This window comes from Homo sapiens, chromosome 13 (assembly GCF_000001405.40).
Source record: "Homo sapiens chromosome 13, GRCh38.p14 Primary Assembly".
Taxonomy (NCBI): domain Eukaryota; kingdom Metazoa; phylum Chordata; class Mammalia; order Primates; family Hominidae; genus Homo; species Homo sapiens.
Window position 1 is genome coordinate 105,615,578 of NC_000013.11, and position 14,831 is coordinate 105,630,408.

Sequence of the window (14,831 nt, forward strand, 5' to 3'; positions counted from 1 at the left end):
AGAAATGTTTTACTTGCTGCTAAACAGAAGGAAACAATGAGACAAATTCAGAATGCAGAACATTCTAATGATAACTCCTCTGGATTCTTCAGAAATTCAGTTACGGAAACCAAAATAAACCAAGTCACCACACAGATAAACATTCTCTTTCCATGAAAGAGAATATAGAGATCAGAAACAAAACAAAGCAAAGCAAACTACGGTGAAACCACAAATTACAGTATAAGTAAATCTATGTATTGGATAATATTAACTTATTACTGATTTTCTTATACATGATCTATATTGTCATGATTTCTAGAGTAAACATAGAAAAGGATAGAAAAGGTAACACATCTGTGTGTGTATGTGTAATATACAGACACAAAGACAGACACAGAGATGTAGCCAGGTAGATAGATGGATAGATATAGAGATAATGAGGGAGAAAAAAGCAAATGTGGCAAAATTTGTAACTGGTGAATTTAATTGAAAGGTATTTACTAGTATTTATTATACTTTTGTTTCTATAAATTTGAAACTTTTCTGTAGATTGGAATTTTTTCAAAATTGAAATTTTGGCTGTGGTATACAGCTTTTCCCCTTTCCCTTCTATAAATAAAGAATCTGAAAGCAATGAAAACAAAGAGGCGAGGTAACCAAACTGAAAGACAGAAGGAAGAAAATCTACTGAGAACCTTCGATGTGTTTGGTGACTTCACATACATTTTAGGAAAGAACTGGTTGAGGGCTGTGCAAAGTATTCCCCCAAAAGTTCTCTGCATTTGTGGATGGTAAAGCTAGCACACGCTGTTTGTGAAATCTGGTCAGGAGTTAGAGCAGAACAGCAGAAAGCAGTGCCTTGCAGTGCCCCATCCACCCACCATCTGACCACTGGACCAAGTAGTGAAGGGGTGGAAGTTATTGGGCGCACTGGAGTTGGCAGCTCTTAGAGAGCATGAAGCCAAGTCATTGGTTCAGTTGTTATCACAGCAGCATATCCTGTCCCTGCTGTCCTCAGTGAGGTATGAATGCCTGTGTCTGAATGGTCATAAAGGGTATCATAGAGAACTGAGAGGGCAGAATATTAATAACCATTCCTGTATCTGGGAAAAGATGACTCGATTGAATTGCACATCTACTGAGAAAGTTCATCATTTTAGATAAGCAAAAGCTACTGAAGAGAAAAAGGACTGTAACCATGACAAGCAGCAAAGAATCCCTTTAGATTTTGGTAGCCCTCCAATTCAGAGCCATCTATCAACACAGCCTTCAAAATAAAGAATATACTCATGCTCGTAAAAAGCTAGAATCAAAATATCAGAGACCACATGGAAGGGATGTTATTACTCAGAAGTACGTTGGCATTTCAATTGATGTAGAGAATGGCTTACATTGTTATCAATTTAATGAGAAAATTTACAACTTTAATGGTCACTTTGGGTCAGATCCAAACACTCAAGACTTCTTTGTAGTTTAGTTTAGCGTTTTTTGTTGCTTTGTTTTGTTTTCACTATTTGTGTTGTGATTTATACAAGTTGATTCACAAAGGTTATTTAATACTAATGGAAGTTGTCTACTATTACTGAAAATTCATTAAGTATTTATCAGCTTAGGGCTCTTAAAACTTAGAGAAAAATCAAAGAAAAACTTAAAAGTTTCTCAAGAAAATGCTACACATACCCACCTTTATAATGGAATCACCTCTCTGAAATGACTGACCCTTTTTCTGTTTATTTCTCAGATCTTGTATCAGAATGTCATAGATATATTGTGATCAGCAATGCCATAGCACTGAAAGTAGAAGGCTTTTTGCACTGCCTCTCAAACGTCAAGCCAAGAGACTGTTTCCTGACTTAATGTAATACTCAAAAAAAAAAGCATTGAAAATACCATATATTTCAGACTTACAGAATTGAAAGAGATTAGATTACACCATATGGTAACCGACCCAGTTTCTTCAGTGACCTCAGACACCTACCTGAATTTCCTAGAAGTACCAGTTAAATGGGATCATTTTTTTATTTTACTTTATTTAGTTGTGTTATATCACTGGAAATCATTAATAACTGACAATATTGACAATTTTTCTACATTGTGTTTTAGAACTCTTGTCCAACTCTGAGATTATGGTCCATGGAAGTGCTTCCTTAAAATAATTCATTCTAAAAAATAGCAATCTATACTATGATAATTTTTTTTAGTCAGATACCACAGTCAGGTAACAATGAACTCATAAATGACAACATTCCATTTTAGGCTAGAGATAATATATATTTTTTGTACTGGCCAGATTTAGCTACCAAAATCTTTAATGTCATTCTAAGTATCTATAAATACATATATGCATAAAGTAAGATTGATTGTAGATGAATTTAACTATTAAACAAACCTGACCTACAAATGCCTAAGTAGATCTAAAAACTCACATAAAGTAATGAAACATAGATGAGTAATGTAAAAGTAAAAATGTAAAAGTAGCCAGCATAACGCTCTGCATGATCGTGCTTCTTTTATTACCTTTTAATTAATTTTGTGTGTGTGTGTGTGTGTGTGTGTGTGTGTGATGGAGTTTCACTCTTGTTGCCCAGGCTGGAGTGCAATGGCGTGACCTCAGCTCACTGCAACCTCTGCTTCCCAGGTTCAAGCAATTCTCTTGCCTCAGCCTCCCAAGCAGCTGGGATTACAGGCACCCGCCACCATGCCCTGCTAGTTTTTTGTATTTTTAGTAGAGACTGGGTTTCACTATGTTAGCCAGGCTGGTCTTGAACTTCTGATCTCAGGTGATCCACCCACCTCGGCCTCCCAAAGTGCTGGGATTACAGGTGTGAGCCACCATACCCGGCCCCTTTTAAGAAATTTTAATCAATTTATTCTCCCCATCTGATATTATCATTTCCCCTCACTTCTCTCAATCAACTAAACAACCAACCGAACAAAAACAAACAAAAACCACAATGTCCATGAATTCCAGGGTCAATTCAGTGTATGGGAATCAGTCATCCTGTTTATAGAAAGATAGAGTGGAGAAGGTGGAGAGGGTGGTTTTCACCGACTGGGGCAGTGGCTTCTGATGCTGCCACACAATGTTGTGGAATATGGAGTCCACGCATCCTGAAGGACACTTGGTCTTTCCACTTCAGTCCCCAGAGAAGAGTGAAGTCACTCTATGCTTGGGCTCAACAATTAAAATTCTTTGAATTTATATTCAATCATTTACGCATGTTTTCCCGAAGAAAGACTTCATGCAAGAATGGCCAGTGCTTAGGGATTTCCAGAGTAAGCAACACTTTTGGCCAGAAAAAGCCTTTTCTTAGGACGGCCAGAGCTTGTGTTGAAAACTAGTATCAAGCCACCCTTGTTATTAATGTTACCATCCTTGTGAATTCTCCAAATGCTCCTGGAGTGCTACTCTCAGAATAGTTTGTCAAGTGCCACTCTAGTCCATTCCATCACTTTCCCAAGCTTTGTGTTGGGGTCACAATCACTTTCCTCCCTGAGGATCTCTGGGATCCCTGTGTCAATAAGTTATCTACTAACCCGGATACTCAATGAGAAACACCAAAGATCATGTGATCTTCTTCATGTAGGGTAGATATATTGCTACCTAGATTGCTCATGTGATTCTTCCCCCCACTCCACTAATAATAGCAATTTATTCCAAGATGTCTTTCTATGTAAACTTTTTAAGATGTTGGCGCATACATATATATAATATAATATGTAATATATATTTATATATAGAATATGGAGGTTGGCATGAAACTATACATACTTGAATATATATTTATATATATACACACACCTATATTTAATATATATCTTATTTCCATTTCCTCAGATACCCAATTATTTAAAAGTAGAAAAGTAATAAATCAGTGGTAAGGTTAACACCCAACATTACTATCAATGATATTATGCAGCTGCTAGAGGTTGGCTTAAAAAAGGAAGCCTTCATTTCCTAAAAGAGATAGGCAGGATGCAAATGCAGTAACTCGCAACTTTTGTGATGTCTATAAAGAAATGAAACTGTTGTTTAGGTAAAAATCAGCTTTCCTTTAAAAAGACAATATGCTTATATAAAGAGGAAACAATAAGTGATAGAGTGGATGACATCCTCAGGAATAATCTTTCAATGGGTGCAAAAAGAAATTTCATGTGAGATAATCTATAAGGATATACTAAAATGATATATGTGGAAGTTAGCATTTTGGGGCATAAATAGCATGTAATTTGTCATTCATTTCAAAGGACAGATTTTCAAGGTCAGCAGTTCGAGACCAGCCTGTCTAACATGGTGAAACCCCATCTCTACTAAAAATACAAAAATTAGCCTGGCGTGGTGGTGCACGCCTGTAATCCCAGCTACTTGGGAGGCTGAGGCAGAGGAATGGCTTGAATCCAGGAGGCAGAAGTTGCAGTGAGCTGAGATTGCACTCCAACCTGAGTGACAGAGCGCCGAGGCTGCATAAAAACAAACAAACAAACAAACAACAAAAACATAGTAATGAGAAGGACTGGGGATTTTGCCTTTCTGGCAAAACAAAAAATGTATCCTAATATGGATACATGAATTCTAGTAGGAAGCAATGAGAAGACTCCTGGGACAGAGATCAAGAAAAGTTTAGTAACAGCAGTATCCAGAGTATCAACATTTTGTTCCCACATGGCAACACAAAGAGGATCATGTAAAACAATAATTTACAAGGGGCAAAGGAATTTATAGGGGAAGAGGAACCTGAACTTAGGGAACCTGAATGTTCTATAATGGGGAGTAAGTATGTTTGCACACTGTTTCACAGGCAGAAATGATTCTTCATTTCCAAGGATGTTTGCTATATAAACATCCTCAAAAGAGAATCCAGAACAAAAAGGTGGTCAGTGCCTGACTTGCAAGATGTGCAAAAATGTGAGAGACGAATTTTCTCCCAGTGAAGATATGCTGGGAGGATGCAAAATAAGCTAAGAAAATTTTCACTCTAGATAAGAGGAGTCAAAGGAAGATTAGAAGGGATGCCTGGAATGTGTCAGTTTTGGTCTACTGTATATATAGAATTAGCTTAGATAGCTATGTCCTGTACCAGTATATCCACTACAATACTATCATTAAAAGATTAATGCCTCTGCTAATTTATGGTAAACCTTTAGAATTGTCCAGTGTAATATTTAGAAACAGCACTTGTCTTTGCAGTTAAATTAATACAGACCATTGATTCTCACCTAAGTATGATTTGGCAATTTCTAAAGATATTTGAGGATGTCACAACCTGGAGTACTGTTAGCATCTGGTAAGTAGAGGGCAGGATGCCCCAAATCCCACAATGCACAGGACAGCTTCCTAAAACAAATAATTATTCCACTTAAAAGCCAATGATGCCAAGATTAAGAAACCCTAATGTATATATGCCTAAATTCAGTAATTGTATCTAAGTTCAAATAATCTTGGAAAATATTGTTTGAACTACATAATTATTGAGAAAATTTTAACTCAGAGGGTTTGCATTTAAGTGAACAAACAAAAAATATTTTACCCTTCATTTTACTCATCAATCACTTAAAAATCATTTCTAGAAATATTCTGGATATAGTCTGATTGCACTAATTTAAATAAAGGTTAGTCTTCAATTCATAATTATATACCCAGTTAGTAAATACACACTTCAATGGAATGGAAAAAAAAAACAGATTTCATGCTCAATCTTTCGGAGATAGACTCCTAGAACCATCACTTATCAGCTGCAAGACTTTGGGAAATGATACAAGTTATTTGACCCTCCTGTCCTCAGCTTTCAAAGGAAATAATTATAACACAAATGTTAAGACTGGCTGAACAACAACATTATGAGTGTTAATTGAAATAACGGAACAGTAAAGTGCTTTGTAAATTCTAAAGCTACTAATATCAGCTGCTATGTTAAAGGCATGTTTTTCTGTTTCTTTTTCTTTTTCTTCTTTGACATCAAAAAGGCTATAATGATAAATGGCCTCTTCTCCTTCTGTAGGATCATTGATTTTCGAAATCCTCAAGAATGGTAAGAGTGACCTTTTTGTTCTTCTTCAGTGAGTTTTAGTTTACTCTATTTTGAAGGCCAGGTATGTGTCATTGTATAGAAGAATCTGTCAAAAATTAGGATCACGTTTGATGTCACTTCTGAGCAACATGTTTCACGAAAGGTCTGAGAACTGACTTGGCAAGCCTTTCAAAATGGGAAAATTCAGGATTAAACCTGTATTGGAGCCTACCGAGGGAAGTAGAGTTACATATGTAGTCTTCATCTGCTTGTGAAATAACTCTTTTCCTTTTTCATTCCAAAAGAAGTAATGTATTGACTGCCTTATGGATTTGATTAATAAAATGCATCTTGCTCAAATCCAGTTTTTACAAGAGGTGATGGTAAATCCCTTTAAAGGAGGGTTTTAAGGCTGTGGCCGAAATGACTTAAGGGGACTAAGGCACTGAATCGTAAAACCTTACCTGAGATTTTTCCTAGGTTAGATACCAATGTTTTAGATACAATTTTGTTGGTGTGGGTATAAGAATAGCATACACTGCTTGAAAAAGATTATACTAGCTGACCACAGAATTTCTGTGTTACTTATGCTGGATAACCATAAATATTTAAGAAGTGCCTAAGAAAAACCTAGGGTTCCAGTTTCAGAATTATATTAAAAAGAATCCAATCATCTAATCTGTTTCAAGGATGGTTCTAGCATCGGTTGTTGATTACATTGAGTATCAGCATAAATTTACATAACAATGAAACAGAATTGACTGTTTTTTCCAGCTGTGCAGACATGTAAAAGTATCATGCTGATGAATTTGATTGACATTTAGTGAGGAAAGTTTCTTCCCGTCATTCTGTCATCAACTATGGATGCTACCTGAATTTACAATGACCCAATCTTTCCCTTCAAATATTTACACTTGGGGAGCCATTTATGCTCATTAATAGGATTGGACAAGATAACAAATAAAAAGATGAGGATGAAAATTACCTCAAATACTTAGACAAATTGACCTAAATAGAAGATAAAAGCTTGTTTAAAGTTCTTAATTTGTGAAACTGTTTTCAAAGAGTACATCCATTGCTTCCGTTTACACATAACGAAATTGAAATACAATCAAAATGACAATATAGATAATAGAATTCACTTAAACCATGTATTCTCAAAGACAAGAACTTCCTATATATTCATAGATTACAGAGCTCACTTGGACAATTATACTCATGAACTTACCAGTTTCTTTTGAATACTTCCATAGTTCAAATAGAATATTATTTTATATAGTCTTTTCCAAATTGCCTAATCATGAACTCAGAAGGATTGAACTGATTAAATGGAAACTAATTAATTCTGAATTATTCAATATACTTCACATTTATTTGGATCAAAATCTGATCCAAATAATGATTCATATGAATCAAAAATATTGATTAATACAAATATCTCAGATAAAATTCTGTACTATTCCTGATAGAAGTGTATTACATTAAGGAATAGCCTTTAAAATTTTTTGAGTAAGTCTTAAGTCTCATATCTCTGCAATGTAATAATTTATCTTTCTCATTGAGGTTTAGTTAATAGATAAGGACAATGATTATGGCATATTGTCATACTACTTACCCATACAAAGAAAACATACTACTTAGCCATACTACTTACCCATACAAAGAAAAACATACTACTTACCCATACAAAGAAAAATGAATTTTGCTTCCGCATGTCTTATTTCAAACCACTTTTTAACATGCATTTCTTCATAGATACATATATATTTAACCTTTACATCCTAAATAGGTTAAAAAGAAGTTGTAATTCGATTTCATTTTATTTTTGTTTATGGAGGCCTACAATGTCTTCCTAGAGCACAAAAGCAAACAGAAGTCAGAGACCCTCCTTTGCAATCTGAAACAGACCTGTGGCTGGCTCCATGACGGCTGTGCCATGGAGGTGGGGCAGCTGGCGCCTGTGCTTTTGAACCCGCCTGTCCTGATATTAACAACATCAGCCTTGAGACTTGAGCTCAGGCCTGGCCCCTAACTTTAAGCAAAGCATCGGAAATGGTATTCATAAAATCTGGATGCTGCTGGGACATTGAAATCGAAGTAATCAAAGCCCAGTCTGTGGCACAGAGGGAAGTAATATTTCCATGTAACTATACGGTAATTCCCAAATTACTAATTCGGTAAGTAAGCTATTAAGTGCAGCTTTTAGAGTGAAGACAGTGATCGAGACTGATACAGAGAACAGATAAACATCGGAAAATCTTAAAAGGCTATGGAGAAGAATTTAGGTACACTTAATGACAGAGTAGCTCTGTGGAAATACGAGATCAAATAAGGAGAACATAACGATTATATCTTAAAATTGAAACTTCTGCATATTACAATAGGAAAATCGGCAATAAATAGTCAATCATCATGATGTTTGGATAAATTCTAGAAACCTAACATTTATTTAGTTTTGTTGATTCTTAAACCAAATTATTTATGTAATTGTGCACATATGCACTCCAGAATTAGAGATGCTTACATTTGAGTTCAGTTTATCGTAAAGGAGGCTCAACTTCTTTAACAGAAAAAAAGATGATAAATATTCTTGTCTTGAAATGTAATTAGGTTTAAATGTGATAGCGTATGAGAAAGCAGCAAGTGTCACTTTCTTTCCTTTCAAATATGAGATATTCAATAATACTAATAGAGCTGTTTACCATTTTACCATTTCCCTAAAATATTTAAGCATGTTATTCATTGGTAGTGAAAATTTTAAGTCTTGAATACGTTTAGGAAATAGAATAAACATATCTATTAGAAAAGATAAAAAATAAAAAGAGCTGTATGCCAATACCATTGTATGTTCTATTAATATATTTTATGTTTGCAGTAAAGTCTTGCTAGATAGTACCTACTACTATAGTACAGGAATTATGCAATGAAATATCAAATTGGCTCCTCTACTTTAGGAGGCCAAATCAAAACTTCACAGCAACAGTAATCAAAACAAACTTTTGAGCCTGTGTATCAAATTGTTTCCCACCTGTTGGGGTGAATGGTGTATTTAGATTAGGGGCCCTTCAGGATCTGCAGGTGCTGGGTCAGCTCCTACCCTCTGAGCCTTGTGATAACCTTCACGGTTACAGGGAACTTCTCGTGAAGGTGAGCAATGGAGAGGAGCTGAGAAACCCAAAAAGAGGAAGGAGTGAATGGATGACGTGGGACCTTACTCTGTGTTGCATCCCCTGGCAGAGCAATTAAAGGTAAGGTGAAGTCCAGACTGGAGTGCCACCCAGGTCAAAATCCCCCCCACCGCATCAAGCAGCATGTTCGACTGGCAAATTTTCCCTTTATCAAATATTTATAAATTAAGGGAAGGCTTACCTTCAATTAAATTGCTTTATTTAGTTAAAACCTAGCAAAAATCAGTAATACTCAGAAATTGGGAATTCCTTGACTGGAAGGTGAAACTGAAGGACATAGAGCCATTCCAGCCATGGGTGGGGAGTTTTGAACATTTGAGAGCAGCCTTTGAGCTCTGTTCTCCAGGAGCATAAAGGAGGAGCCAGAATGGGAGAGAAGAGAGCTTTAAACATTTTTCCAGACAATTCCCCTCAATACATACACACTTTGTAACAGAGACAACTGGTTCAGTATTATACGTGTTGCAAATTTTAAAACCTTAGTATGGATTTGTTTCAGATTTAATACACTGCATATTTATGTTCTCAATCTTTGGTCATTAGACTTGAGTTTGATAGTCATTACTAAGTCCTAATAGTTAAACAAAAGAAAATGAATGGATATATTCTTTAATTATAAGATCGCTTTCCTAAATAGAAAATGAAAATCCCCTGGAGTTTCTGGAATGTCTTTTAAAAATAATTTATTATTGCAATGAACTAGACTCTCTTGCAAAGAGCCTAGTGATGCTTGTGTACCTTTGCACGTTTTTTTTTTTTCTTTTTCCAACCTTTTCTGGGCCTCTAGGGCCCTCTTTAGGATCTGAATACACAAACATATTTTGCACATGTGGGTGTTAGGAAAATGCTATTTGATGATAATGATGATGATTTCCTGAAAGTAAGGGTTGCTCATCAGAGGAATGTGTGACTGTTGGAGGCTTTTGATTAGTTTCTCTTGATCTCTTTTAAAAATAGGATGGTTTTGCTCATCTGTATGGGATGGTAAGAGGGAAGGGTAGTCTTGTCTAAAGGCAGAAAAAGGATGGTCTGACATCAAAACCCCTTCTAATTTTATGATTCTAAGAAGTAGGATCATTTATTCTGAAGAAAAGGCTCAAAGGTTTAGTGTGTAGAAGATGGTGACCAGCTGCTCTTCCCTCACTGATTACAGAAAAGGAAATGTGTTTAAATTTGAGCATGAGCGATTGAGGCTTTGAGGGAAGAATTTCCCAACACCAAGGCTATGTCAAAATCAAGGACAAAAGGAGTCAGAAAATGAATCAGTACATGTCCCCAAGTAGCAGTCTCCTCAAGGTCGAAGAGAACCCTATAATGAGCAGAGGAGAGTGCACCTATATTTTGTTTCTCTTTCTGTCTCTCTCAACATTAGTCTAGTCTTAACTTAGGAAAAATTATAGCACTGTGAATTGTTCATATGAATTCCTGAAGAGCATGGTGATTTATCTGGACCTTCGAATGCCTGGGTTAATGCTCATTAATTTGCATTTGTTAAGAGCTATCAAAGAGTTTATGGGGTGCAGCTCGGGGCCACTAGAAGAGGATTTTAATGTGCTGTTACATTTCTATGTCTCTGTCGCTTAAGAACGACCATGTGTTGTGAATTGTACTAATTTTATTAATTACAGATGTACACACATTGACATTAAAATATTATATTAAAGTCACTGCTCTCCCAATCTTCCACATTAGGTAAAATTATATGAATTCAGATTTTTTAAAGTGGTTTTGCTTGAGGTTTTTGGAAATGTTATTTTAGAAACGATTAAAAGAAGAAGTCAAGGACCTTATCCAGAAATGGTCCTAATATATTGGTAGAAAATGCTTTACAAGCATTCTCTGTATTCTTTATCTGCTTAAACCTTTGGAATAAAGAGAGTGATTGATTAAAATCTATTTGTAATCAGCTATTATGAGGCATGAAACAACATGACAATACCAAATAATAAAAATATCTATAAACCCTATATAAAACTGATTACTTACAACATTATTTTCCTTCATGCCTAACAGCTTAAAAATATCTATTACAAAATATCATTATCAACAGAACTATATTATTTAACTCTTTTACATTATGGACAAACTAATGAGTTTCTATAATTAAAATATCTCTCCATATAAATTTATTGTGACAATTATTAAATGCTAAAAAAAGTCAAATACTCAACATTTAAGATCACCACTAGGATCTACATCAAAAGTCTTCCAATTATTATGTAATAATATCACACACACACACACACACACACACACACACACAATATTGCTTGAGATGCTGTATTTTTGATCACTGGGAAAAAAACCCTAAATGTTATTTGAATTGACAGAGATTTCAGAATATTTACATACGGCTAATTATATTGGTTTGGAGGCACCCAGCTACAAATAATAAAAAAGAGTTTAACAGTGAGAAAAAATGTATTCTGTCTTATCACCAGGAGTTCCTAGGGTAAGGTGGCTCAAGGGTTGTCTGTTCTCACCAGGTCACCCTAGACAGGACTCTCCCCATGCTCAGTGGGCATGAGAACTTCCAGTTCTTACGTACACACATGACCTTGTCCGGCAGAAGAAAAAGAACTGTTCCCCCCTCTCTTTCTTTTGCCAAAAGAAACCTTTTCTGAGAAGCCTCCCAGCACAGCTCTCTTCACTTTCCACTTGACAGAACTAGGTTGTGTTCCCTTGCTAGTCTGCTGGGATTACCAAGACTGGCTTCGGATGACTGAGACTTACCCCAGGGCTGCTGGTAACGTCATCTTCCGTAAATGCGTGGTTATACCAAGGAGGCTGCCAAGAAGTAAAAAGAACACTGTTGAGTAGGCAACAAATACCGTCTCCAAAAATACACACACATCCAAAGTAAACATATTTTCTGTTTTATTTGTTAAGCCATAATGTGATAGAAATGTCATCCTGTATGCATATCCACACACATATACCAAGAAAAGAAGTGAAAACAGTAATAAAAGCAAACCAAAGAAATCAGACTAATCACAATCATTCACATCAAGAAACAGAGACCAACTCTTCTAATTCCACTTGCTTACTGCACCAGCCAGATGGAAAGTTGCTTTTAAATTATGCCAGATTTTTCAAACCATCATAACAAAATGTAGTTATCATTTTTGCATGCTTTTCATACTGAAGTAAAAGAAACATCTTAGAGTTTATTCTTAATATAACCAAATTCTTAATATTTTCATTTATTCAGTGAACTGGAAAGTAACTCTTTAATAATGAAAACATTGATGTCTTTGGATATTTTGTCTAAAGAATATGCTCATATACTTTAATATTGCATGTATACAATTATCTGTTATTATTATAAGATTGTAATTTGATCTTGATTACAGAACATTTCATTCTTAATACAATATGCTATTTGGTAATTTTTCTACAAGCCAAAGAAAACAGATTATTTAAAATTCACATAAATTTGAAATGTGCTTATATTTTAGATGTGATGTGGTTAGCACTGGTATTTTTTCTAAGTTCCATGGATGTTAACAATACTTCGACTCTTTAATCAAAATTCAAGGTGCAGTGGTTCAAGAAAGAAACATTGATAATTTTACAACAATCGGTTACTTCTATTTGTGACTGGGAAATAAACTCTACTTTTCCTTACTTAAATTAATGACAATTTAACAAAAAAATGATACAAGATTTATGAGAATAGAATAGTTAATATTACTGTCAAATGTAGATGAGATTACTCTAGATATTAAATTGCTATTTATCATTTTAAAGGCAACATATATATTTTGTATTGGATTACCATTATAACTATTGAATATCAAATAACTTTTCAAATAAAGTTCCAGAATCAAGTAATATATTTCAGAGGAACACTTAGGTAGAGTGATAACAACTGATTTTTGTCTACCCAATATCAATCCCCCCATTCCCAAGAGATGAAATACAATTGGCCTAACAACTCCATGTTCCCACCTTCCATCCCTCTCTCACACCTAGACACGGACACATGACCCAGTTTCTGCCAAAAAGGTGTTAAGTATATGACTGCCAAGAGGCTTCTAGGAAGGCTTTTTGCTTTCCTGATGATGCAGAATGAATGACGCTGTATCCTACCCTCTTCTTGTTTTGAATGTAGGCATGAAGTCTAAAGCAAAAGCAATCACTAGCTTTCAGTCCTTGACACCATTGTTGCTAATCCAATGTCAACAGGATTCCAGGAGATTTAAGGAAAAAGAAAAGACTCATCATTTGTTTAAAACTCTATGAGTTAGATTTTCTTTTACGTGTAGCTGAAGGCTTTCCTAATTCATATTGAGAGCTTTAACAGAAAAACTCATTATTTAGAAATTGGATTTTATCATATCACCAAATTCTTTGGTCAAATAACAATTTGATTTAGGATATCTACTTACATGCTTTCTTTGGGTCTTTCCTTGCTCCTCATTCATGTGTTTGCCTGAAGTCTCTATGAAATATCTACATTAACAAATAATTATCCTCCTAGACTAGAGCACACAGGATTTGAAAATCAATCTTAATATAAATTCCTTGAAAACCAGATAGCTTGATCTACAAATGTTTTAGAACCAGATAGCTTGATCTACAAATGTTTTAAAAGACTTTCTTAAATCCATGGTGTGGGTGGGGAGCTGTGGACGAAATAAGACATAAAGATTCCCAGTTGGGTCTTACACTAGTATTTGTACATGTCTTAGGATACCTCATAAACTTCTTCCAGCAGTTTATTTTTATTTTTTATTCACTTTTATTTTTTGAGATGGAGTTTTGCTCTGCTGCCCAGGCTGAAGTGCAGTGGAGCAACGTTGGCTGACGGCAACCTCCACCTCCCAGGTTCAAGTGATTCTCCAGCCTCAGCCTTCTGAGTAGCTGGGACTACAGGCGTGTGCCACCAGACCTGGCTCATTTTTGTATTTTTAGTAGAGACGAGTTTCACCATGTTGGCCAGGCTGATCTCGAAGTCCTGACCTCAAGTGATCCACCTGCCTCATCTCCCAAAATGCTGAGATTACAGGTGTTAGCCACCACGCCTGGCCTTCCAGCAGTTTATTTATATGGATGATACCCCTGGAAGGCAAAACACTAGTGTGATGAGAAGGTGCCATGCACAGTAAGATTAAAAACAACACAGCCTCAGTGGCAAAAGCAAAGCAAGGCTTAAGACAACATAACATCTGCCATTACAATTTTTTTCTGGTCCTTTCCACACTTGATTCATATACCACCCCTATAAACTGCAAATGGACCATGTTATAAACAATAGCTAGCAGTTTCCACTTCTGGTTAGGAATTAGAAAGCCATAAGAGAACTACAAATGAGAACAAGATGGATAACTTGAAAACAACAATAACAAAACACAGTTTATAAGAGCCAATGAAGAGCTGGAGATGCAAAAAAAGCCTAACTGAAAGAAAATCTAGAAAGTCATGATCTCTTCCTATGAGAGAGGAATGAAGTGCTTCCCTGATGCTAGGTGGAGTGATGGGAAGAGGAGGAGGGATTTGCCAGCAAAGGGATGTGAGAAACAAGTCCAATTTTCAACACATTTTAAAAAGCTTATGAAGTGTGATGACTCAGGTCCCTGAGGAAGCTCCATCAGAGGCAGCTCTGCACCCACCCACCTCTCTGTCCCAGGGGGCCTTTACTTTAGTACAT

General features: G+C 35.7%; 1 long non-coding RNA gene across 1 annotated transcript in view; it reads right to left on the reverse strand.

Annotated features, from left to right (window-relative positions):
* Nucleotides 1-14,831, reverse strand: part of LOC105370345 (uncharacterized) — a 134,781-nt gene that overhangs the window by 43,502 nt on the left and 76,448 nt on the right. Inside the window, exon 6 of the long non-coding RNA XR_931698.2 lies at nucleotides 11,912-11,965. This is a non-coding gene — a long non-coding RNA (uncharacterized LOC105370345). The remainder of the gene's footprint in view (nucleotides 1-11,911; nucleotides 11,966-14,831) is intronic.